The following is a 27,107-nucleotide window of genomic DNA, read 5'->3' as shown; positions in this document are numbered from 1 at the left end:
TGAACTCCTGACCTCAAGTGATCCACCCGCCTCAGCCTCCCAAAGTGCTGGGATTACAGGCATGAGCCACCACACCTGGCCAGATTTAGTGATTTTTGAAGGTGAACAATATGCCCCAATTGGATTGTAAGCTGCTTGAGGGCAGAAATGATGCCTTTCCCCAAAGTACCTAATGCAGTAATGAACAGCCCTGACTTTATAATTTACTAGATGTGTGAATCAGAACCTGAGCTAAAATGCTTATAGTTTTCTCATCTGTAAAATAAAGATAGCCATCATTTCCTTATCTATCTCATATAGCTGACAGTTTAAATGATAACAGATAATCTAATCATAACCACAGATAAAAGTCATATACAAGTTCTCGAGATGTAGCTAATGAACTATAATAATTCGTGCATTCACTTATATTTGTTGAAAACCCATTATGTGCCAGCACATATACAATGGATCAGCTAAAGATGGTGCCTAGCAGGCACCTGGATGTCACTCATTCTGAGGGAACCTCAGCTATTCTAATACATTGTTCAGGCTCTTGTGACTATCTGTTAATTACAACACCTCTTTTCTCTGTCACCTCTTATTTCCTATGTTTGGGTAATTTTGTTGAACTACCTCCATCAGAAAATGGCCAGAAAAAAAAAGACAATATAAAAGAGATAAAATTCAGCAGGTTAGCTAAACTTCAGCAGGGAGAAAAGGAAGAAAAACTACTGCCAAGAATGAGGCATCTTTAATTTTTAATGATTCACATCAGATCCAGCACTAATTAATAGAGACAAATGAGTCATCTGCTTAAGTACTTACATACACAAAAACATACACTCCTTCACACAAAAACACAACAGGATACATTTTTGAAATTACGCCTTCTGTTGACATTTTTCAATAAAATAAAGGCAGCTAAACAAATGTTTTCTTACAATTTTGTTACTGCCTTTATGAATTCTAGGAAAAGGCAGGGAGATACCCTAAAGCACTCTAATTCTAAAGAAGCATCTATTTTCAGAAATGAATTTATAAAACATTTCAGGTAAGTATGTAGTTCTAAAGGGTAGTCTTAATTATTGTGGGGTCTTAATTTCTTTAGCCCCAAACTCAAGTGTTTTGAGGGAAAGTTTTACTGATGTTTCTTAATATACCATCAGATCCTGTAAGATTTTTAAGGTTTTGCTTTGACAGCCAGGAGTATTCATAACTCCACATTATTTCTCCAGAAGTTCTAGTGTGCCAAATATAAACCTTTACCTCTTCTAATACTAAGTTACATGCATAAATAATCAGCATTAAGATCTTGGGTAATTTCCCAAGAGGGCCATTGCTGAAGCAGAAACCAACTTTATCTTCTCTGATGTGTATTAAAAGTCGTAAATGGGAATCCCAAGTCACTCTTTGACAAATGCTATTTCTCCTGTTGGCTTTCAACACTTGTTAAACAAACTAAACTTAAGCCAAATGTGAGAGCCCACAGAAATCACCTCTGACGTTTTCTCAGATTACAAAAGAAAATTGGCTTTGAACTTAACTTCTCACAGGAATTTTCTGATGAAAAATTTACTTCCAACACCTGAACCAGCGAGAAAACTTGACCTTACCAACCAGTTAGGTGCCCGTGTCTGATCCATCTTTGTACCCCTGATGTCCAGAGCAGCGCCTAGCACATAGCAGGTGCCTGGCAAATGTCAGCTGACTTAGAGGAAGAACCGAAATGTGTTCAAGCACTAACCTTCAAAAGCATTTCTTCATGTTGGGGATTATCAGAATCATAGGCCTCTCTACGCAGTTTTTCCACATCTGCAATAAGGTTCCTGTACCCAACGATTTGCAGAAGGCAAGCCTGAAGAGAGATTCCCAGCCTAGGGTGTTCAAAAACAGAAGAGACACACAAGGAAGAACAGGGCATTCACTTTGGCATTTGTTCACTTGATGTATGCATGATAGAACTTTTCATATTAATATAATATTCAGGAAATTGCTCAAAGATGATCTATTTAATAGAAGCACAATTCTTATTAAATCTCCACATGGACAACTGTAGAACCTGGCTAAAATTTGCCTCGAAGTCTGACTTTTTCTAAAGCTAAATGGCAATGGTATGACTTAAAAATAAGGGATTTCTGAGGCCAAGATGGGAGGATTGCTTGAAGCCAGGAGTACAAAACCAGCCTGGGCAACAAAGCAAGATCCTATCTCTACCAAAACAAAACAAAACCAAAACCCACAAGGGATTTCTTTATGCAGGTTACTTGAAATTATAGGTAATACTGGGCTCTTAGGGATTATATAGCACCCCCCAGGTGGTCATATCAGAATTACCTTAGAAAGATGTGTGGAAGAGAATGAGGATGAGGACAACAGAAAAAGCCCTTAAGGGCTTCAAGGAAAAAAATCAAAACAAAATGAAGTGAAACAAAATAACAATAACAACACCACCTCCACTTAGGAGTGTCCTCCTCAGGGGAGACAGTGCTAAGAGGGTAGTTACAACTTTACAAGATGTTCTATTACATTCTGACCGCTGTAGTTGTCTGAACACTTTTTCTTATGCTGAAACAAAATCTGCTTTGCTTATTACAAAGTGGTTCCAATTCCGTTCTCTGAGCAAATTTATTTCCACCTTTCCAGTGCCATGACTATTTAAGATAGCGAGTCTTCTAATCTCTAGGGAAAAGAGAAATCTTATTTCTTCATTTCCCTCTCATGGGACATCTTATTTCAGATGTTTTATTTTATTTTTATTTTTTATGTTTTGAGACAGAGTCTTGCTCTGTTACCCAGGCTGGAGTGCAGTGGTACAATCTTGGCTCACTGCAACCTCCGCCTCCTGATTTCTAGTGATTCTCCTGCCCTAGCCTCCCGAATAGCTGAGATTACAGGTGCCCAGCACTACATCTAGTTAATTTTTATATTTTTTAATAGAGATGGAGTTTTGCCATGTGTGGCCAGGCTGGTCTCGAACTCCTGACCTCAGGTGATCTGCCTCCCTCTGCCTCCCAAAGTGCTGGGATTACAGGCATGAGCCACTGCGCCCAGCCGGTTTTCAGATGTTTTATGATCGTTCTCAGTCCTCTCCGAATGTACACTATTTGAATAACAGTACCCTAAAAGCATATCACTAGAACAGAAAACAATCTGGCAACTGTAACACACAGAGGATCATTACTTTCTGTGACTGGAATGCTGTTTTCCCTTTCTACAGCCTCTAAAGTAATGTAGAATCTAAAGGTCTAAAAGTAGCACTTCACGTTTATTTTTTCCTCCTAAATTCTTTAGAGTCATGTATTTTCTGTGGCTCAAAAATGGCTGAACATTGGCAATTGCATATGATACTCTCCAATCTAGTCTTTTGTCTTGTTCACTCATGGACTTTGAGCATGTTTGAGGTGGTGTGGTGGTGGTCATTATAATCACTGTACATCATCATATTTTTTTTTAGGGGTAAATGACATGCACAGATGTTAAATCTCAAGTTGAGGGCAACAGAACTTAGAACTGTGTACCTGCTCCAAACGTACAGGACAGTCAGACAGCCTAGGAATACTGAACTTTAATAAAGTCATATTCAGTGAATGACTTTCATCATTACTTGTTACCATAGCACCAAACAACTAGGCCAGATATTAAAATTTAGGAAAGGGCACCATAGCACTAGCCACCTAGAAAGTCCATGTAGTATGGAGAATAGCGTTAATTTTGAGGGAAAGAGGAGAATGGACGGAATATAAGAGGCAGAAATAAGGAAAGTCAATTAAATTTTCTCTGGCCGGGTGCGGTGTCTTACGCCTGTAATCTCAGCACTTTGGGAGGCAGAGGCGGGCAGATCACGAGGTCAGGGGTTTGAGACCAGCCTGGCCAACACGGTAAAACCCCATCTTTACTAAAAATACAAAAATTAGCCAGATGTGGTGGCACGTGCCTGTAGTCCCAGCTACTTGGGAGGCTGAGGCAGGAGAATCGCTTGAACCCGGGAGGTGGAGGTTGCAGTGAGCCTAGACTGCGCCATTGCACTCCAGCCTGGGTGACAGAGCAAGACTCTTGTCTCAAAAAAAAGATTAAAATAAATAAATAAATTTTCTCTGTCGTAATTTTTAGTGCCACCATAAGCAGCACTTAAAAAATGTAATTAAAACAAGTGAGGTTAATAGTAGTAACAGTTTGGTAAGTTATAAAGTGTTTCCCCCATCTCTAAGCTATTTCTTTGTTTTCTCAGAAAAGTACTTAATTTTTTTATATCAGAGCTTATCAATGTCGCTCTGTAAAAAAGGCACTAGAATCCACATGGAGATTTAAAAAAAATACTACAGGTTGAGTAACCCTTATCTGACATGCTTGGGACCAGAAGTGTTTCAGATTTTGGAATAGTTGCATATACATAATGAGATACCTTGGGGATGGGACACAAGTCTAAACATGAAATTCATTTGTGTTTCATATACAACTTATACACATAGCCTGAAGGTAATTTTATACAACATTTTTAATAATAGATGCAATCTGTCACATGAAGTCAGCTATGGAATCTTCCATTTGTGGCATGATGTCAATGCCCAAAAGTTTCAGATTTTGGATTTTCAGATTAGGGATCCTCAACCTGAACCTAAAAGGGTCTTTTAAAAAAATGAGAACAAGAGAATGGATGGCAAAGAAATGCTCTTGAATGCACCTTATATAACTTTCATAGAAAAGATTTGCTATTAAATCTAATCCAGTCTCTAAACATGATTACAGGACTCATATATCCCTCTTGCCAGTTGTAGTCTTAAATTTTTCGTTCAATCTTATTTATAATGAACTGCCTTCTTATCACCTTCCCAGAGGAATAAAATATATGTTAGAAGGTTTCAAAAAGACCTTTACTATATAAGTAAATCAACCTTTGGTAGCTGAATAGGCAAAAGGCAGCTAATGAACTGAAGCGGCTGCTAAAGAACGCTATAGAGACCAGGCAAAAATGGAGGTTTTGTGATGAGCCCCTAGATAGCTAGTATCCAAAATCCTTCCAAGAGATAGACCTACGCAAGTGTGCTCTGAAATTCCCTTCAGCTACAGTTCCTGTAATTATTAATAAAAGCCTTTCTCAAAGGTAACATCTAAAGTTCTCAGACACGAACATCTAAAAGACAGTTTGATTGTTACCAACCTAAAACCTTCTCTAAATATATCTGCATTTGGAATTTATTCTACCCAGTGTCCTCAGTGCAAAATTTTACTGAAAAATTGCTGTACCCAGTGGAAAATATAAAGCTAATTTTAAATGTCACGAACATTGCCAAATGCATTTTAATACTTCCAAGATGAGAGGAATAAATTATGAAGTTCTAAAGTCTTCATATAAAAACCATTTCTCCTTCCCACACATGCCTGTCTTCTTGACAAGCAGGTAGAAACAGTCTCCAAGATTCTCAGCCTGTCATAAAGTAATATTCATGAAGGAAGTGAAGGACTATTCTAGATGGAACAGAATCAGCTTAAGCACATTTACAATTTGAACATTTACTGTTAGCGTAAAACATAGGCATCAGATAGAGTGATTGTTGATGAATGGGTTCATCTTTCTCTATCGGGGCACTCAACACATTTCTTACATTCTTTGCATCTGAGAAGCATAAGCCACAAAGGAAGTACAAAGTTGCTGCCATTTACAAACATGAAAAAGGTACTTTTTTTCTTTATTCCTCATCTGAAAGTCAAAACATGGCAGATGATTATTTTAGGGAGAGAGGGAGAAAAAAAAAGAGAGGAGACAGAGAAACACTAAACCTGTGGCCATGTGATTTGTGTTCTGTATTTTTGACATAAGAAACATATTCTTACTGTGGATTTACGTCAGGATTAATTTTTTTCAGTTCCATGATATCTTCTATAGTTTTTTCAATAGCGTCGGGGTGAACACTCACAGAAGTCTGCAACAGCTGGAAAACATGTTTTAATCACTTTCCTTTTCATTAACACCAGAGGCTTAATCAGTATCTACTGGGATAGAGGCTTCAAACATTTGCTTAAGCTTCTATATGAAGACTTAAGTTAAAAGCAACAATTGATTTAGCGTACTTGAATTCTAATAAATTTGACATTTTCACGATGGGGGGGGGGGTAGTGCAATTTTCCTGATAACTTTAATCAGGAAAACACATACAATTTTTTTGGTTTTGTTCTTACCATTTTCCTGTTTCAAGCTACCTATATTGAAATGTAATATTTTCATTTCCTCGCCCAACATAGTTTCTATTGTTAAGGGGTATTATGTTTATGACTAAAGAGTGAGGCACATGAGGGAGATAGTCTTCAGGATGTCAAAATTAATAAGATAAAATTATCAAGAATCTTGAAAAAGAAAATAGGTTTTCTTTCTTATATGGATGCTCCACTATGCTACAAAAGCTAGCATAGTGGCTTCTTTGATGTTATTGAAAAATCTTAAGTATAATGTTAAAAATGATTTGGATATTGAGGAAATAGTAGGGAGTTAATACTGTTACTATGTTCAAGGAATATTTATTTTATGATTTGGGAAGAGGTATAAGAAAGGGTTCATTTGACAATGAAGTAATAAGTACTTCACAAACTGCCTAGAAATTCACATACAGTGGCTGTTCTCATGTAAATAGTACAGTGGTTTGTAATGGGCAAATGATTATTTCTTCTCAGTTGGCAGTAGTTTTCCTAGCCAGTGGTATATTTTGGTTTCTTAGAATTTTTACTTCTTATGATAAAGGTAAGCTTCCAAGTGAAAAAAAAGCTGCTGAAAAATAATTTTACTTACCTTACTTTTAGAATCCCTCAGTGATGTTTCTGTGAAAGCAGCAACAAAAACAGTCATTCAAAGATTATCCTTTACACATGGTTTAGAATTACTACACTGAAAGACAACATCGTATCTTCCATCATACCAACTCTACCTTTTGCTTACTTCTTTGTCTCAGGCTTACCGATTTTCATGGTTCTAGAAGCTCCCGGCTTGGTATTATAACAGATCCGTTGTAGTTCACATCTTCCAGTTAGCTTCCTCATTACAAATTTCAGGCAGCGCCACAGAAATTTACAGTAAAAATACAGGCATACCTGGATCAACATTCTGTGAAAAACAAAACACAGCACCCTTCCAATAGAACTCTGGAAGAGAAGAGAAAGCAGCCACCACCAGCAAGAAAAGAAGCCCAGGAGAAAATCAGGGGTTAGAAAAATCACCTTATACTTAACATATGTTTCTAGTCCCATGCTACTTTATTTGCAGTAGCTACACTTACTATGACTGTAAGAAACTCCAGAATTTTCTATTCTAGTAAATCTGATATTCCAACAAACTGAGGATGAAGCATTAGAATCTTTTCTTTTCCCTCCTTTGCCTAAAACCATCTTGGAAGTAAATGAGTACCTTGAAAACAGAATCCTTTAATACTGCTTGTGTTTTAGGAGTCAGCCCTCCCTTTGACGTGGGGGAAGAACATGCTCTCCTCTTTTGCCTCCATGAACAGCCTCTCAGCTTGCCCTTGTCCATTTTCAGCCCCTCCCTAGTGTCCTCCTCACCCTCGACCAATCCCACTGTTTGATTCCTTCCCTTGCTCCCATTCTTTCCTCTTTCCCTCTGCTTTCCCTTAGGCATTGCAGACCTCCTTGAGGACTTGGTTGTGGCCACCTGCCTTTTCTGCTGACCTATCCTAACATTCCCTGGCCTTGTCAGAAGCCCTTCTCATCAGTTCACTGAACAAGCACCCTTGACCTTTGATTTTCCTAGACGTGACGACCTTCCGTGATTTAAATGTTTCAAAAACTCCTCTTGAGAAGTTTGTTCTTGGCTCTTGCTAAAGAAAGTTTTCTTTACTGTACACCCTACCTCACTCCAGCAATACCGCAACAAATGATGAACTATATTGTCACCAGTCATGTGCTTATTCACACATCTGTGGCCCATGTAAGTCCATCTTTTATGATGACTTTTAATTTTAAAAATGTGAGTGCCTACTATTTCATGGTACGGTTCAGAATTTCAAATGACTTAAGCTTTAGTGGTAAAGAGGACTTATTATCCGGGAACTTATATAGTCAACCTATTTTCTCTTTATACTGTACATCCCCAGGAGGCAGAATTATTTATATTACTTCCTTTTGTTGTCATCTGGAAAAGATTTTTCTTTATTCTCAAAAGTTCACTAATTCCTTCCAGTTCTAAAATAAGGTGATGCATGGTCACTCAGATATACTGGAGTAGTTAACTAGTAGCCTCTACAATGTGATCCATCCCTGAAAAAGAATCAAAACCTTGACCGTGTTCCTTTCCTTAAATTGCTCTGGTTCCAATAGCTTCAACAGCCTTGTGTTAAAAATAAAAACTCGAACAGTCTGATTTGCACAAAGGCATGGAGTTTATATCTTATAAATGCAAAGGAAATGGAAAGAAACCATACAAAACAACCAAGCTGCTGCACTGAGATAACATAATGGAATACTTTGCAGGCAACAAGATTATGTCCTAGAATATCTAATAACATGAAAATATCCATGATATGTTTATCAAGTAGAAAAAAGTTAAAAAGAAATATGTATGGGATAATCCACTTTTCATTTAAAAAATAAAACAAAAATTTTAATAGTAATGTATAAAGCAGGATACACAACAAAAATGTTAACAGTGATATTGATTGGTAGTAAAATAATCAGTAATTTTAATTTTCTTTTTTGATTAAGTACATTTTTATAATAAATATGTATTATTTTATTTAAAAAATGAAAATTATAACTAAAATTATGATGTATAAAATGATCACCAAAAGCCATTACAAAAGTGCATATAAAATTTCCATGTATAGTCAGTACAAAGTCAACCAGATTCTGCGGAAAGACAAAAATGGATTTACTGTTCATTCAACTGTTCTAGTCAAATATATCCTAAGATCTGTTAGGATTTAGTTTAACAGCTTCCAAAAAAAAAACACCCCAAAAAACAACAACAACAAAACCCAGTAGCCCTAAAAATAAATTTAGTGGGATATTTTAATTAGACAAGTGAGAAGGTTTATAAAACCTCAGGGCTGGACGCAGTGGCTCACGCCTGTAATACCAGCACTTTGGGAGGCTGAGGCGGGTGGATCAAGAGGTCAAGAGATCGAGGCCATCCCAGCCAATATGGTGAAACCCCATCTCTACTAAAAATACAAAAATTAGCTGGGCGTGGTGGCACATGCCTGTAATCCCAGCTACTTGGGAGGCTGAGGCAGGAGAATTGCTTGAACCCAGGAGGCGGAGGTTGCAGTGAGCCGAGATCATACCACTGCACTCCAGCCTGGCGACAGAGCAAGACTCTGTCTCAAACAAAACAAAACAAAACAAAAAAACCCCTCAGCTTGCTCTCTTGGAAAATGTTTTTCATTTTCTAACTACTGGATAGCTATGCCAAAAAAAAAAAAAGATTGAGCAATATCTTGTTAACTGGTCCCCAGCAAAATGGTAATGATATTAATTACTGGGATATATATGTATATACATTAACATATTAATATATACTATTAATTACTAAGTCAAAGATAAAAGCTTTCCCTAATATCTGTTCCATGTGCAATTTTCAGGGAAGTCCACCCCATCTGCGGGCTTGCACCTCAAAGGAAGCTACCTTTTAAGTCTGTGTGGCAGAACTCTAGCAAAAGTAGAACTATGAGATAATCCAGTTCTGTTTGTACTAAATCTTCCTAGAGAAGAGGACGACCCTTATGATCGTTCAAGGAGTGTCTCTGTATTCTTCCTATTTAGGTTCCAAGGCATCAAACAGAGCTTAAATTAAGCTACAAAAAGTCTTCCCTGTGACCTCTGTATCAGGTCTACACAAAGAGGAGGCTTGAGACCTAGAAGTGTCATCTTAAGTGGCAGGAAGTGTCCATATATAGAGTTACCTACAGCCCAACTCTAATTTCTCCCACTGGCATCCTTGTATATGAGAAAAATGACTGTGTTACTGTTTTGCATCAAGACAGTCTTACATCAAAAGGAAGAAAAGATATCTCATTCTATTTGCTTTTATCTTTTAAAAAAAACTTCCTTGATGATGCTCATACTGTCAAAGACATGAAAGCCAGGAGAAATCCACAGGAGGTGTTAGGGATGAAGCATCATTTCTTAGGGTTCACCACTCTGTGAAGTAAATCACATCTCTCTCACATAATCATAAACAATTTCAATTGTGCACATTTGAATTATGAAATGGTATCTATACGCTGCTTGTTCTTTCATAATTCCTAGGCCAACAGGACCTGATAATGCTACTTATTATCCAAGATATATTCTATTTTCTCCCCTTATTTTTCTAATGGGCCAACATGCCCACAAATATTTAATTAAAACCTCAGCTTGCTGTGCTAGGTACCATACTTTCCTGCTATGCTAGTTACTGTATTTTTTTAATCCAGATCATCAGATCAAATTATGTTTTGACAGGTGTAATTTATTTTGTGTCTAGGTTATAAACCTGGTCCAGGCAGGTCATGGTCAGAGATGGAAACATCAGGGTGATCCCTTACTTTGGAAACAATATACAACTTGCTTCCTTATAAAAGGACCAACTCCTCAAAACCTCCATGTGAGCAACTCAGGCTGGCTGTTCACCATCAAATACTGCCAGAAGCTCACTTCTTAAATAATTTGGACCTATTTAAGTCCCTAAATCACAAAGTTTATGGAAAAAACTGCTGAGGATCAAAAGCAGAACAATAAAAATGATTAACTATTTTGAGAGAATGTTATATTGGTTTGACATGTTTACCCTTTAAAGGAAGCAATAAAGAAATAGATCTGTAAATGCTCTTGAGCTAATCAGTGGTTGTTTAGGAAAGAAAGAAAGAAAGAAAAAGAAAGAAAGAGAGAGGGAAAGAAAAGAAGGAAAGAAAGAAAGAAGGAAAGAAGATAAGAAGGAAAGAAGGAAGGAAGGGAAGGGGAAGGGGAAGTGGGGGACAGGAGGGAAGGGAGGGACAGGAGGGAGGAACAGAGGGAGAGAGGAAGGAAGAGAATAAGGAAGGGAGAAAGAAAAGGTGTATCTGTTTCTTATTTGAGTTTAAGGATTTTGGGATTCATTGTACCCTTTCCTCCTTTTAATTTCATTTGTTTTATGTCCTTTTTTTTTTTTTTTTTCATGACTGCATGCTTTGGGAGGAGGCATTTCAAATGTACCTGTGAGACAGAACCCACTTACTGTCTCTTGTACCAGCACTAATCTCAACCTCCTGTTTCACACCCTCCTCACCTTCTGAACCCTCTGCTCAGGGGGTTTATGGCTCTGCTCCTTTCCCTCCTAGGCTGAATCAGGAAACCAATAAGCTTAGTTTTAATTGGGCAATATTCGCTTTTCTTCTTCATAACACTAGACTTAGTTTTCTTCATTTTGATGGAAGATTCTTGACTCACTACTAAAAATAATCTGTTAGATTTTGTAGGAACAACAATTAAATCCTCAAGACTAGATGGAGAAAATACTGATCACCACCTCCTCTTTCTAATAACTACATGCATAGGCAGCAGTTTTTTTGTTTATTTCTGTTTTTTAATCACAGCTTTTTGATAGTGTTCCAGAAAGAGTTACTGTAGCTTCCTAAGATGAATGCCTTGCTTAAACACTGGGAGAATCTGATTCAATAATAAGAGCTACTACACATGCTCCATTTCCAATCTTTTCTGTTACTGCCTTTTATTAATATGCTGCAGAGTGATGTTTATGGCTGAGTTCACAGCAGTGTTCTTCCATAAAGCAATTATGATCACGTTTATTATTTAACATTCATTCTCTAGTTTGAACCAGAATAGCCACCCAATGTAAATTATTCGAAATGGATCATATCTCTGCTACCAAACAAAAGCAACCTCCGGTCTTGTGGCGCTTTGTTAGAGGAATCCATTCAGGAGGGATGGGGCTTTCAAAACAGGAAATGCGCCTAAAACCATGTAGCCCCTTGCCTGTGGGGTGAGGGGGTGTGGGTACCTGTAATGCAACACTATGCCATCATCCTAAATTTGTGACTCTGACGTCTTCTTTTGGAACAGTAAGAGAAAAGTGGCTTATTTTGAACAGTTTCAATGAATGTGCTAATGAAAGTTAATTCTTGCTTGAAGAAATCCTGTAATAAATAAAAAGTACACTATTGTTGATGAAAGATATGTACAAAAATAATCACAGTTCTTGGTTCAAACCACAGTTTCCCAAATGAAATACTTTTCATCTAAATGTCATAAAGAAGAGCAAGCGGCTCAATGTCCCCGACAGATCATTTAGTTGCTCCACTGAAGTTCCTAAGTAGGGGCACTGACAATCGGTTGGGAATTAACTTATCAATAGGTACTTTGCCTAGTAAATGGGACCATCCGTATAAGAGCTCTCTACTAGGAAGAGAGGCTGCAGAGGACTTGGTACATGAACTGGAAATGTGAAATCACACAAAGAAACCATCCGTGGGTCTCTAGGAAAACAAGAGTATTTCCTTCCTGTAGAGCAGGGGAGAGGTTCCAAGATCCCACGCCCAGATAGTGTGGGGCCCTGTGGTTTTTTCACATTATTCTTTTTCTGAAGAGATCACACTAACTTCCGAAAAAGTAAAAATTAAGGGGATTGGTGGTTATATATCTATCATAGATCAATGTTATTCAAAATTATACTGCTGTAGCAAAGGGCACTCTTTTTATAATATATTCCAGGGAAATTGTATCTGAAGGCTTAGAGAGCACTAGTTGATTGTGTAATAATTAAAATAAATTAATTAATAGTGTAACCCTTTCCTTTCAAAGAAAAGGAGGTACAGGTTTCTCTTAATTTACTAACAACAACATTATTCAACCAAAATTTTGATGATTAAATACACTTTATAAGATTTATTTCTATTTATTTATTTGTCAAGACACGGTCTTACTCTGTTGCCTAGGCTGAAGCAGCCTCGACCTCTCTGGGCTCAGGTGGTCCTCCTACCTCAGCCTCCCCTGTAGCTGGGACTACAGGTACGCGCCACAATGCTCAGCTAATTTTTGTATTTTCTATAAAGATGGGGTCTTGCTGTGTTGCCCAAGCTGGTCTTGAACTCATGGGCTTGAGCAATCTGCCTGCCTCAGCCTCCCAAAGTGCTAGGATTATAGGCATGAGCCGCCGTGCCTGGCTACAAGATTTATTTTTTAAAATCAGGTTATGTTTTACTCTTTGGATAATACTTTTATTGACTTATTTATAAGGAGAAACAATGAACACATTATAACACATTATACTTTGACATTTTAAAAGTATTTAAATGCAACCTCAAATATAAACTTTTATTGGTAAATAAAAATATTTTTAAGGCAACCCAAATTAAGTAAACATATAAATAAAGTCATCAAAGGTATTATTCATGCTCCATCATCAATTATAGGGTTCAAAATATTCTATAGGGGATAAGAAATAGGCCTGTTATTATTATAAATTTGCTACATAATATAATTCAAAAAAAATTTAAACAACCTAGTTAGAGGACATGCTCAGTATTGTGAACAAATTAATTTTTGTTAAAGACCTAGAGCAGCTGAAAGAAAGAGATTTGAAATAAGTTGGGGGGAAATGAAAAATGACAATTGAAAGGTATTTCAATTTATTTTATTTATTCCTTCATAGAGCCAAATACAAAATAAGACTGACCGTGCAGTACAGAAGAAATGAGAGTGGGAGATATGGCAGTGGAAAAAGTGAACATGAGTCAAGAACTTATTTTCACAGCAAGCCATATGACCTCCCTGTCCACAAGGAGCTTGTAGTCTAGCAAGGAAAAGGACAGTAAAAACAGAAAGTTGAAAAACAGTGTGACAATTCTATAAAAGCAAAACACCCAGGGTGTTGGAGAGGCAGAGGAGAGAGAGACAGTACGTTCCTCTCAGGTTGGACAGGAAAGCCAGCTCCACCATCCCACAGAGACAGACAGAACAGCCTGGAAAATCAGCGTGCTTTCCTCACTTCAGTACAAAAGTGAAAATTCCAATGAGTAAATGAATGAAATTCAAACTAACATTTATTGAGTGCCCGTGGCTTTCGGGTATATTGCTCATGCTCTGCGGGAAGAGCTTAACAAACAGTGAAGTGGCCAAAGAGTTGGCCCTGAAAAGCTGAGGGAAAGCCAAGGGGCGGGAGAGCTGGGATGTACGTGATCCAGCTCCCAGAGGATCTCGGACAACAGCTTGAGGGCAATGGGCAGGCTCTGGGAAGGTCACCTACAGGAGATTGCCTAGAAAAAGATGCAGGTTAACATATTTCAATGAGAGTGTGGACACAGCTTTTGTTTGTTTTAATGCAGGGAGCAAAATAATTTAAAATATATGTGTGTATGGACACAGGAAGGGGAACATCACACACCGGGGCCTGTTGTGGGGTGGGGGAATCGGGGAGGGATAGCATTAGGAGATATACCTAATGTTAAATGATGAGTTAATGGGTACAGCACACCAACATGGCACATGTATACATATGTAACAAACCTGCACGTTGTGCACATGTACCCTAAAACTTAAAGTATAATAAAAATATATATGTGTATATATATGTGCATATTTGTGTGTGTTTATATATGTATGTGTCATATATATGCACACATACATGTAAAAATATACCTCATACATGTATGTACCATAGAAAAGAGAACACTACAGCTAAAAGTACCAGTCTACAGTGAGAGAGGTATTTGGATGCACAGGCCATAAACTTTCCCTTTTTCAGGACTTAGCTTCTATATCTCACAAGCTCAGTCAATGCCTCAAGCAATGCTAATCAAATTCTGGAACAACTACACGTTCCTGCACCTTCTGCTCTTCAAAAGCAATGGAAAGTGGGTCATGCTGAATAAAAAGTTTGACTAACTTGTCTGAAAGTCAGACTTGGAGTCTAGCCCGAATTTGCCTCAATGAACTATGTGACTTTGGAGAGGTTACTTTGCTTCTCTGGGTTTCTTCTTTCTCACACATAAGGTGAAGGGATTGGACTAGATGTCTGGCTCTAAGCGAAGGCCAGACATGTTAGAAGGGGAAAAGATATTTTTATCCGATTCTCCTTCCTCTTTGAGGTGCTCTTTAAGTCGGGGTGAAAATGTTGCCATGCTCTGGGCTGCTTCATGCTGTGCTTGCAAAGGTGACCAAGAACTGCTCCTAACTTGATTTTTGCAACTTGTCTTCTACTCACCCCAAACAGGGTCTACATCTAACAAACTTGGACCACTAGTGCTTATGGCACCAGTCATGCCTTCTTGGCCTTGTTTACAGCATCCCACATCTTCTATCCTTATTTTAAAATATTAAAATCCTAGTCCTTCCTTTCTCTCAACATTGTCTCAATGAAGCGTTTCCTGAATATTCCTTCACAAAATGTTTATAACCTGTCACTGATCGCATTCTTTTATATATCTTAGTTTTGTATGCATACGCCTCGTCTCTTACCAGGTGGTGTGTTACTTTGGAACAGAGACGTCTCACATTCATTTATTTTTGAGATGGAGTTTTGCTCTTGTCACCTAGGCTAGAGTGCAGTGGCGTGATCTCGGCTCACTGCAACCTCCGCCTCCTGGGTTCAAGCGATTCTCCTGCCTCAGTGTCCCTAGTAGCTGGGATTACAGGCACCCACCGCCATGACCAACCATTTTTTGTAATTTTAGTAGAGATGGGGTTTCACCTTGTTGGCCAGGCTGGTCTTGAACTCCTGACCTCAGGTGATCCACCTGCCTTGGCCTCCCAAAGTGCTGGGATTACAGGTGTGAGCCACCATGCCTGGCCCTCACATTCATTTTTGAATCACCTACAATACCTCACAGTGGGCTCACAGTAATGGGGTAATGTGACACAAACATGAGAAACAGCTTGGAAGTCAAAGAGGCCTGCATTCAAACATCTATGTGCCTTTGTTGAAGTCACTTAACTTTACTAAGCCTCCTTGTCCTCCTTTGTAAAATGGGATGTTATGTCTTACTTAATTACATTTGCTATGAAGAGAGAATGAAAGTGGAATAAATACTTGCATTATTAGCAATGAATGCACACTAAATGACTTAGTGGACCAAGATATTAATCAAGTATGAATGACTTAAAAATCCAATTTGTAGTTATTTTTGCTAATTGTAAGCCCTTATTTACCTAATCATACTAGAAAAATAGTTTTTTCCCTTGATTGCCTCAAAGTTGGGACATGGGATAAGTCTGCTGTATTGCTCAGTTCCTCCCACAGAGGTTTGAGCTTGGCAGATATTTTCCTTTCCTCTTTTCTGCTGGAGGAAGGAAAATAACGAGGTGAGATGCAGGGCCAAGAAACTGAGATTCTGAGACTGGAACAGTTGGAAGCAATGATTTACATGGGTGACTTTAAAATTTTCCTTTATTAATTTCCAAAATTAATCATGTTCTGATAACTTTAAAAAATATAACCTCAATAACTAAATCCCAACGAGGGAAATGATCTTCAGCACAAGTTTTCAGACTTCTCTGTTATACACATCAACTGAATTAAAGTTAGTAAAATATATTACAAAAATGAAACCCTAAGCTTTTGTTCTAGCTGGGACTTAAAAAATGTTCCTTCTTTTTCTGATCACATGTAGATATGTTTTGTTATCCATGTTTTCCCATGTTTTCTTTTTCTTTTCTCTTCTTTTTTTTGTTTTTGAGACGGAGTCTCGCTCTTTTGCCAGGCTGGAATGCAGTGGCATTATCTCGGCTCACCTTAACTTCTGACTCCCTGGTTCAAGCGATTCTCCTGCCTCAGCTTCCTAAGTAACTGGGACTACAGGCATGTGCCACCACACCCAGTTAATTTCTGTATTTTTAGTAGAGATGGTTTCACCATGTTGGCCAGGATGGTCTCGATCTCTTGACCTCGTGATCTGCCCGCCTAGGCCTCCCAAAATGCTGGGATTACGGGCGTGAGCCACCACGCCCAGCCTCATGTTTTCTTTTCATGCACATCATGGCTAAAGTCAGACTGGATGGTCTGGGGATACATACCCAATATCCCATTTCTATCCTCAATTTAAAATACACATTTTAGCCAGGTGTACTAATCAAATAGCATTTATTCCTTATATTTCATGTAATTTTTGACATACATTGAATATTTTCTCTATTCCTTTTTGCTCTGAATATTTATACCATTAATATATCTGATGGTAGCAATTGGGTATCATGTATCCTAAATGTAGATCAAAATCCATTTTTTCCCACAACCTGGTTTCTCTAAGGTTAACCTAATTTCTTCTGGGACTGTGCATGGAGCATTTCATTCTAGAACATCTCAGAAGTTGACAGATTAATCACTGCATGGGCTTTTAAATAATGCTGAATTCTTCCCAGTGAAAAGTCAGCTCCTCATTCTCCATAATACATTTGCTGAGCTCAGGAATTAACATCTGATTCATTCAGGCTTTGCTTACATAACCTTCTCTTTGGTTCAAATGAAAAGATTGCCAAAATCGTCCAACATCTGTGGAAATGGACTACAGAAAATAAATCAACTAAAGAAGGGAAATGATCAAGTTTCCTTTTATTATTTCAAAACCAATGGTCAATGAAAATCCTCAAGTTTCTGTTTTAATGTACAATCTGTTATCCTAGCTTTAGTTTCACATAAATAATCAATGCCATATAATATTTATAAAATATACACTCCAAGATACATGAAAAAAATGTTTATCAGAACACATAACTAATAGGGATGTGTTGGTTCTGTAACCCTTGGTGCTAGTCTATGCAAAATTACAATGGTAGATTTTCACTGTACCAGTTCTAAATCATCATATACAAATTAATTTAAAAATGTACTCTTTGTGCACCTATTCAGTTTAACAATAAAACTAACAGAACCAAAGGCTACTATTTTTCCTAAAATTACTGGTTTTGAGGCTGCTCAAGTTTTTCTAAAACAAATAAGACATCGAGGAAGAAATTGAGTAGTACAAGACTTGGCAACCTTACCACCATCATCACCACTTTTACAAAGGGAGCTCCTAAATTCTAAGCTTCATCTCACACTAAAGCTTTCTGTTAACATGATTCTGCAGATGAAAGACACCATGTTTACATTCAGGAGGTGTGCACAAATGCCAAATTTTCATGAATGTATAGATAGATCAGTTAATTACCATGACAACCAAGAACATATTAGGTCAAATACTTGGCTGGCAAATGTCCTCCTGATTTTTCAAATACTATATTTTTACACAGCTAAGATAAACAGTATTCTGTACAATAAAACAAATGCTGATGACTATAAATTGTTTCACAGTAACTTCCTGAGAGGTTTTCACAATTCGAAGATCCAGTAAACTACCAGTAGCTGCATCAAAACCCAGTGAATCCCACACAAACTGATCTGGGTGCTCCAGAAACAACAATGGAACCAAAACCACTGGGGTGGGGGGCAGTGGATCTTAAATTATGGCCATTGTAGGAATCAAATCATTTCTTAAAAGATGCAAGCCTATTAATTTGCTTAGAGAAAACAGGCCCGAGTGAAAGACAAGAATGTGTAACAGAAGCAGGTCACCATCTTGAGGAAAAGAAGCCCGATCTTCTGGAAAGTATGTTGTATTTTCTCACATTCAGGACCTGACTAACTTTATTTTGCCGTATTTTAATATTATGCAAAATTTATCTGGGAATTCCATTAATAGACAACTGAATGACAGTCAATACTCTTGAAAATAATTATAACTTTAGGTCCAGTCAAATGCTTTTCAAAACTAAAAAAGATCACCCCAAACATACCAATTTATGGCATACTCTGTCCAGCACAATCTTCAGGGAACCAACAATTGATACAAATTTCAGAGACATCACTGAGGTAAGAAGAGCGGAAGCTTAGAACATATAGTTTGACCGCCCACAAAATTTTAAAATGCCCATATGGATTGGCCAGCCAACCAAAATCTAAATTAAAGGATATTTAAAAGGATACTTATTTCCAGAAAATGATTTTACACAAATTGTATTAAGTGATTCATTGACAGCTATTTCCTTAAACCTTTCAGGCCAGCGGTGTACCACTGTGCAGAGACACATGGCACCAGGGCTGTCTAAAGTGCCATGCTTTTGTGCCCACACTCTCTCGCCATCTACAAGTGCTCTGTCTTATCATCAGCACGCATATAGAGTTAGCAGAGGAATCTCATGGCCAAGTTATTCTTAGCAAAAATGCAGTGCTATTTCACAGAATCTTAGGAGTCCTGGTCACAGGATCACAAACGATGACTGGTAATATTACCCTAACCAGTGAGGAGGTTTCTCCCACTGCAGAGGGCTCAGCCAGGGAACCGTAAACACATACCTCAGGAAGTGCTTCATGGTGCCCGTGTTGACTGTCCAGATGCTATATGAACTGTCCTCAAGTAATTGCTTCCAAATTTGCCTTTGTCAAAGTAAGTGTCAACTGTGGGAAGAAATTAGATATTAGGTATATTTACTAATAAGGCTGGAAGCTGCAAACCAAAAATTTCTGCTTACTGAGGCAAGCAGTTAACATGCCAGCCACCCAGAACATTATCAACAGAACTGCCCACAGAGCAATGCAATTCAATGGATAGAGGTTACAGGTATAGACTTTATATTAATACAATTAGCCTTTCATTTTAAGTCACTTGCTGGAGAAATTATGAATTTCATGAGCAATCTCTTCAATATCAGTCTTTTCCTTTATTTTGGGTATTGTTCCTATATCTTTAGGAATAGTATTCCTAAGAAAAATAAAAATGAAGAACAATAAAATTAACCAACTGGATTTCCAGATATCCAATAGTCTAGTATCTGGCGGCCCCAACTTTGTAGAAGTACAACTCAAAAATAACTGGAACCAACTAACTTCAAGATAAAAGACAACTGTTAAAGAGCTCAAGCTCAAGAATCACTTAAAGCGCAAGATACTACAAAGAAATGAATGATGCCCCAGGCCCCATTGTCTTTTGGCACTGTGAACAGAGCAGTGAGATTTGATATTTGCATGGCACTTTTTGGTTTATGATTTGCTTTCACAAAGTGTACATCAGGTTATCAGCCTTCTTCCTTTTGATAAGGAAGACACTAGGAGCAGCCTGCAAAGCAGCAAGTTAGGATGAGAGGGGATAAAACAGACTATAGAAGAGAGAGTGTCTGCAAGTGGAGAGAAGTTATCTCATGAGAAAAGAGAGAAATGGAACATCCACTGCAGCAGAAATGCAAGGAAACGAATATACATTCGAAAAAGAGCTGCGGGCAGAGACACATTGCCAACTAGAACAGCCCAGAGTGTGGGAACTCATACTTAGCTCGAATAAAAGCCAGTCTCTTATTTAACACGTTTATTTCTGTAAATATTCCATACATGCTTGAAAAAACTGTCTATACACCAATTTAAGACTGTGGTTGCTTTTGGGAAGAGAGGTGGGGTTTAGGATTGGAAGGAGAAAAATGATCTTCTCAACTTTGTGTGTTTTATTTCTTAAAATATATCTGAGGCAAAATAAAAGGAAAATAACGTTTATTCATTTTGAGTGGTGGGAACATATATTATCCTTTGTACTTTTGTGTTTTTTCTAAATGAATCCAAATTTTAATTTAATTTGGTTAGTTCCCACCCAACACTCGGATCATAATTTCTAATACATTCAACAATAAAGGCATCTAGGGGACCCTGGGAAATGGTTGATTCTAAAGCTGGGTCAGGGCAAGGTGAACCTGAAGCATATTGCAGCACAAGAAAGTCAAGAAGTGCTCAAGGTAAACAAAATAGGCGTGTGTCAAATAAACACAACAATCAACTGAAAGAACTCCCAATGGTCAAATAATTGACGTAGCCACTCTGCCCTCAAGTAGGTGGAGCAGGCCAGGCACCCTGGCTCACGCCTGTAATCCCAGCACTTTGGGAAACCGAGGCAGGCAGATCACTTGAGGTCAGGCGTTCAAGACCAGCATGGCCAACATGAAGAAACCTCATCTCTACTAAAAATACAGAAATTGGCTGGGTGTGGTAGTGCGTGCCTATAGTCCCAGTTACTCAGGAGATTGAGGCAGGAGAATCACTTGAACCGGGAGGTGGAGGTTACAGTGACCCGAGAATGCGCCACTGCACTCCAGCCTGGGTGAAGGAGTGAGACTCTGTCTCAAAAACAAACCAAACAAAAACCTCCCTATCCCTTAAATATAAACTGGACATATGACTTTCTGAGTACAGTGTGGATAGGGGAAAAAAGAATAACTACAGTAGGGCTGGGCACAGTGGCTCACACCTGTAATCTCAGCACTTTGGAAGGTGGAGGCAGGCAGATCACTTGAGGCCAGCAGTTTGAGACCAGCCTGGCCAACATGGCAAAACCCCATCTCTACTAAAAATACAAAAATTAGCCAGGTGTGGTGGTGGGCACCTGTAATCCCAGCTACTTGGGAGGCTGAGGCAGGAGAATTGCTTGAACCTGGGAGGCAGAGGTTGCAGTGAGGCAAGATGGCACCACTGCACTCCAGCCTGGGCAACAAAGTGAGACTCTGTCTCAAAAAAAAAAAAAAAAAAAAAAAAAAAAGGAAAAACCTGACAAACACTGCCTCAGCCAGGTGATCAAGGCTAAGATCACCAGTGATAAGTCATGTTGATAGCATGTAACCTTGACCTGATATGATGAAAATGGCACTTTACTCCCCCAAACATATAACCCCAGTCTAATCATGAGAACATTCGACAAACCCCAATTCAAGGGCATGCCACAAAATATCTAATCAGTACCCCTCAAAACTCTGAAAAGCTTAAAAAACAAGGAAAGTCTAAGAAACTATCACAGCCAAGAGGTGCAAGCCAAAGGAGCTATGACTATTACACGTAATGTATTATCCTGATTGGATCCTGGAATAGAAAAAAGGACATTAGGTAAAAACTAAGAAAAATTGAATGAAGCAAGGACTTTAGTTAATAATAAGGTATCAGTATTGGTCCATTAGTTGTGACAAATGTATAATATTAACGTAAGATGCTGACAACAGGCTGGGTGTGGTGGCTCACGCCTGTAATCCCAGCACTTTGGGAGGCCGAGGTGGGTGGATCACGAGGTGAGGAGATCGAGACCATCCTGGCCAACATGGTGAAACCCCGTCTCTACTAAAAATACAAAATTAGCTGGGTGTGGCAGCGCGTGCCTGTAATCCCAGCTACTTGGGAGGCTGAGGCAGGAGAATCGCTTGAACCCGGGAGGCAGAGGTTGCAGTGAGCCGAGATCACGCCACTGCACTCCAGCCTGGTGACAGAGTGAGACTACGTCTCAAAAAAAAAAAAAAAAAAAAAAAAAGATGCTGACAACAGGGGAAAGTATAAGGGAACCCTCTGTACTATCTTTGTAGCTTTTCTGTAAATCTAAAACTGTTTTCAAAATAGTTTATAAAATATGTTAATGCCTGCTACGCTCTAGACATAGTGAGGCACTAGGGATACTATAGGGTAAACAAAAGGGGCATAGCTCTACCCTGTAGATGCAACAGTCTTTGGGGAGGAGAGGAGAGAAGATGATACAGAGAAACAAACAGGGACTTAAATACAGTATTACAAGTGGAAATAGGTGCTGTGGCAGTGAGTAGGAGAGATGCTTAGCCTAGATGTAGGGGTTGGGGGTTCTCCAGATAGCACATGCAAAGCTCTAAAGGCAAAAGAGTGCAGAATATGTATAAGAGATAAAGTTCCAACATGACTTAGTGTGGTGCTCAGTGAGAGGGATGGGAAAAATAGTGATGGCAAGATAAGGAAAAGCAAGTAAGGGTCAGATCAAGCAGGCTTAGTAAGTAATGTTGAAGTTTGAACCTTATCTGAAGAGCAATAAGGAGCTATTGAAAGCTTTCCAGCTGAGATGTGACATGATCAGATCTCTAGTTTAAAAAATACACTCTGGGCCGGGCATGGTGGCTTATGCCTGTAATCCCAGCACTTTGGGAGGCCGAGGCGGGTGGATCACGAGGTCAGGAGATCGAGACCATCCTGGCCAACATGGTGAAACCCTGTCTGTACTAAAAATACAAAAATTAGCCGGGTGTGGTGGTGTGTGCCTGTAGCCCCAGTTACTCAGGAGGCTGAGGCAGGAGAATTGCTTGAACCCGGGAGGTGGAAGTTGCAGTGAGCCAAGATTGCACCATTGCACTCCAGCCTGGGCAACAGAGACTCCGTCTCAAAACAAAACAAAACAAAATACTCTGATTGTAATATGAAGAATAAATTGTAATATGAGGAATAAATCCTATACCTAAAATTATAGATATAGGATACCATCTACAGACTTGTTGCAATAACCCAGGCAAAGATATTAATGGCAGGATAAGGCAATGGACAGACAGAGGTGTGAAAGATATGAGAGATAGTTAGAAGGTAGATTCAATAGGACCTTTGTTAATTGATTGACTGCGGCAGTGGTTGGCAAAGGAAAAGGGGGAGTTGAACATTATGTCCATGTTTGTGGCCAGCAACTGGATAGACAGAGGAATTATTCATTAAGATATGATATTTTGGAGAAGCATATTTGGGGATCTGGGTATAAAAAGGTCTTTGGAACATTTTTAGTTTTCAGGACCAAGTGGTAAAGATTCATGGATCTGAAGGTCAGGAAGACAACACAGGTTGGAAACAAAGATTTGGGCTTCCTCAGCATGTAGATGGTAATTAAAACCATAGTTCAGAAGGAATTACTAAATAAGTAGCATATATGACACTTGTTCATAACAAAAGCTCTTTGTCATTAGGATATGATTGAAAAAGAACTCTCATGCAACTAAGGTAGTAAAGAATGGATTGCATTTTAGAAATAGTTTATCTAAATTTTTAACAATTCTGTACTGTTAAGTGGTTTGATTTCAGTTAACTATAAAATTGGCTTACCTGAAAAAAATTTTATTTCATAATGATGTGAGATAAGTGAAATAATACTTTAACTCCCCGTTCTTTACATAATAGTTCTTGAATTTATCCCTTGTAAAAACTTCTTGAATGTTTATGTGTCCAATATTGTGCTGAGTAACGCAGCATAGTTTAATACAGTAAAAGAGCCTTCCTATTAAGAGAAAATTTGGCAGATATGGCAGGGAGTGTGCATGGTGGTTGAGAGCACAAGTTTTGGAGACAAAGTTCTTGTCTAGGATCTACCACTAGCCAAGTGGCAGCTTTAGACAAGTTGCTTGACCTCTCTAGGATTAAATGGGGTAAGTAATTAAATTAGCTTGTAGGATTGTTCTAAGGATTAAAAGAACCAAAGCATGTAAGGCACTCAGCATAGTTACAGGTATTTAATATACATTCAGTGAGTAGTATTTATTATTAGTATTATAATTTTGTCATTCTTATTATGTTCTCCTCTAAAGTAAAAGATCATTTTGTCAAGTGAAGAATCACTTAAGAGACTGTTAAAATAAATTCTCGCAAGTTGGTGTGACCTGAACTGGGATGATGACTGTGGGGAGGGAGAGAACTGAACAGAAGTAAAAAATATTTAGAAGGTAGAATCAACTGGACTTGCTGATTGAATGGGAAAAGTGAAGGGAAGGAAAATAACCATTAGTTCTAATTGTCTGTCCCCCAAACAGGAAACAAAGATAACAATTAGATCTCATTATCTGTCCCCCAAACAGGAAACACCAAAAATGGCTTTGGGTGGCAGAAGAAGCCTGTGCAAATGCTATTTAACTCATTATTCACAGAATATTCATTAAATAACTATGCTAAATGTTTTATATAGAAAATGAAAAATTACTGTTTCTTTTTAAAGTCAAGTAGCTTTGTTTTAAAGGAGACCCACTTGTTAATGTTCTATTTGCTGTTAATTAGACAATCTGTGTTTAGCAAATCATAGCTGTGTGTGTGATGTTCTGAGCCACTATTGATAAGAAATGCCCTTTGAATTATTTTTCCATGAGTGGTACTGAGCTCATCTATTTCATTCTACTAAGCCTCTGCTATAGCCAAACCAGCATTTCCCAAGTGGTTCAGCAGGACCTAAGCATGGGGAGAATTTTTTCAAGATAATTTCAACTTTTATTTTAAATTCAGGGAGTATATTTGCAGGTTTGTTATATGCGTATGTTGCGTGATGCTGAGGTTTAGGTACAATCGATCCTGTCACCCAGGTAGTGAGCATAGTATCCAATAGTTAGTTTTTCAACCTTTGCTCCCCTCCTCCCTCCCAACTCTAGTAGTCACCAGTGTCTATTGTTGCCATCTTTATGTCCATAAGTACCCAATGTTTAGCTCCCACCTATAAGTGAGAACATCTGGTATTTTGTTTTCCGTGTTAATTTTCTTAGGATAATGGCATCCAGCTGTATCCATGTTGCTTCAAAGGACATGATTTTATTCCATTTTATGGCTGTGTAGTATTCTATGGTATACATAACACATATTCTTTATCCAGTTCACTGTTAATGGGCACCTTGGTTGATCCCATGTCTTTGTTATTGTGAACATATGCTGTGACGAACATATGCATTTGTCTTTTTGTCGAATGATTTATTTTCTTTTGGATATATACCCAACAGTGGGATTGCTGGGTCAAATGGTAGATCGTTTTAAGGTCTTTGAGATATTGCCAAACTGCTTTCCATAGTGGCTGAACTAATTTACATTCCCACCAGCAGTGTATAACATTCCCTTTTCTCCCAGCCTTGCCAGCATCTGCTGTTTTTGGACTTCTTAATAATAGCCATTCTTGCTAATGTGAGATGGTATCTCATTGTGGTTTTGATTTGCATTTTCTTCATGTTTGTTGGCTGCTTGTATGTCTTCTATTGAGAAGTGTCTGTTCGTGTCTTTTGCCCACTTTTTTTTTTTTTTTTTTTTTTTTGAGATGGAGTCTGGCTCTGTTGCCCAAGATGGAGTGCAGTGGCTTGATCTATGCTCACTGCAAGCTCCACCTCCCAGGTTCACGCCATTCTCCTGCTTCAGCCTCCAGAGTAGCTGGGACTACAGGCACCTGCCACCACGACCGGCTAATTTTTTAAAAAATATTTTTAGTAGAGATGAGGTTTCACCGTGTTAGCCAGGATGGTCTCGATCTCCTGACCTTGTGATCCGCCCACCTCGGCCTCCCAAAGTGCTGGGAATCCAGACATGAGCCACCACACCCAGCCTTGGCCACTTTTTAATGAGGTGATTTGTTTTTTGGATGTTGAATTGTTCAAGTTCCTTATAGATGCTGGTTTTAGATCCTTGTCAGATGCATAGTTTGTGACTATTTTCTCCCATTCTGTCTGTTGTCTGTTTACTTTGTCAATAATTTCTTTTGCCATGCAGAAGTTCTTTAGTTTAATTAAGCCTGGTTTTAGACCCTTGTCAGATGCATAGTTTGTGAATATTTTCTCCCATTCTGTCAGTTGTCTGTTTACTCTGTTGATAGTTTCTTTTGCTGTGTAGAAGCTCTTTAATTAAGTCCCACATATCAATTTTTGTTTTTTGTTGCAATTGCTTTTGAAGACTTAGTCATAAATTCTTTCCCAAGGCTGATATCCAGAATGATGTTCCCTAGGTTTTCTTTTTTTTTTTTTTTTTTTGGATTCTTACAGTTTGAGGTTTTACATTTAAATCTTTAATCCATCTTGAGTTAATTTTTGTAGATAGTGATAGGTTGGGTTCCAATTCCATTCTTCTGCATATGGCTAGCATGCTATCCCAGCATCATTTATGGAATACAGAGCCCTTTCAGGATAGGAAGAATTTAAGTTCACTCTTCTTCTGCATAGCATTCTAACAATGAGGCGGCCATGATACACTTCTCCTGTGTTTTTACACATCAGCCTGTTGACTTCAATATGGTTACATGTAAGCCTGGTTTATACCTGTTTCATTAATTGAAAAATACAGATATTTACTTTTTTTTTTTTTTTTTTTAGATAGGATCTCACCCTGTCACCCAGGGTGGAGTGCAGTGGCACAATCTTGGCTCACTGCAACCTCTGCCTCCCGGTTTCAAGCAATTCTGTGTCTCAGCCTCCCGAGTAGCTCAGATTACAGGCATACACCACCACACACAGCTAATTTTTGTATTTTTAGTACAGACGGGGTTTTGACATGTTGGCCAGGCTGGTCTCGAACTCCCGGCCTCAAGTGATCTGCCCACCTTGGCCTCCCAAAGTACTGTGATCACTTTACCACCAGGCCTGGCCCA

At 38.5% G+C, this 27,107-nt stretch overlaps 1 protein-coding gene across 3 annotated transcripts in view; it reads right to left on the bottom strand.

The window, feature by feature from the left end:
• ELMOD1 (ELMO domain containing 1) overlaps positions 1-27,107 on the bottom strand; it is a 75,633-nt gene that overhangs the window by 29,288 nt on the left and 19,238 nt on the right. For 2 of the 3 annotated variants that reach the window (NM_018712.4, NM_001130037.2), the window contains exons 2-6: positions 19,286-19,387; positions 6,930-7,075; positions 6,764-6,792; positions 5,815-5,912; positions 1,727-1,856 (exon numbers count right to left, since the gene is read on the bottom strand). In NM_018712.4, the coding sequence (NP_061182.3) occupies positions 1,727-1,856; positions 5,815-5,912; positions 6,764-6,792; positions 6,930-7,075; positions 19,286-19,302 (420 nt within the window). In that variant the 5' untranslated portion in view covers positions 19,303-19,387. Of the gene's footprint in view, positions 1-1,726; positions 1,857-5,814; positions 5,913-6,763; positions 6,793-6,929; positions 7,076-11,959; positions 12,096-19,285; positions 19,388-27,107 lie in introns of all 3 variants that reach the window. The other variant, NM_001308018.2, reaches the window with a different exon arrangement.

The sequence above is a fragment of the Homo sapiens genome, chromosome 11, assembly GCF_000001405.40.
Source record: "Homo sapiens chromosome 11, GRCh38.p14 Primary Assembly".
Lineage (NCBI taxonomy): Eukaryota > Metazoa > Chordata > Mammalia > Primates > Hominidae > Homo > Homo sapiens.
This window is presented reverse-complemented; position numbering and strand designations above follow the sequence as displayed.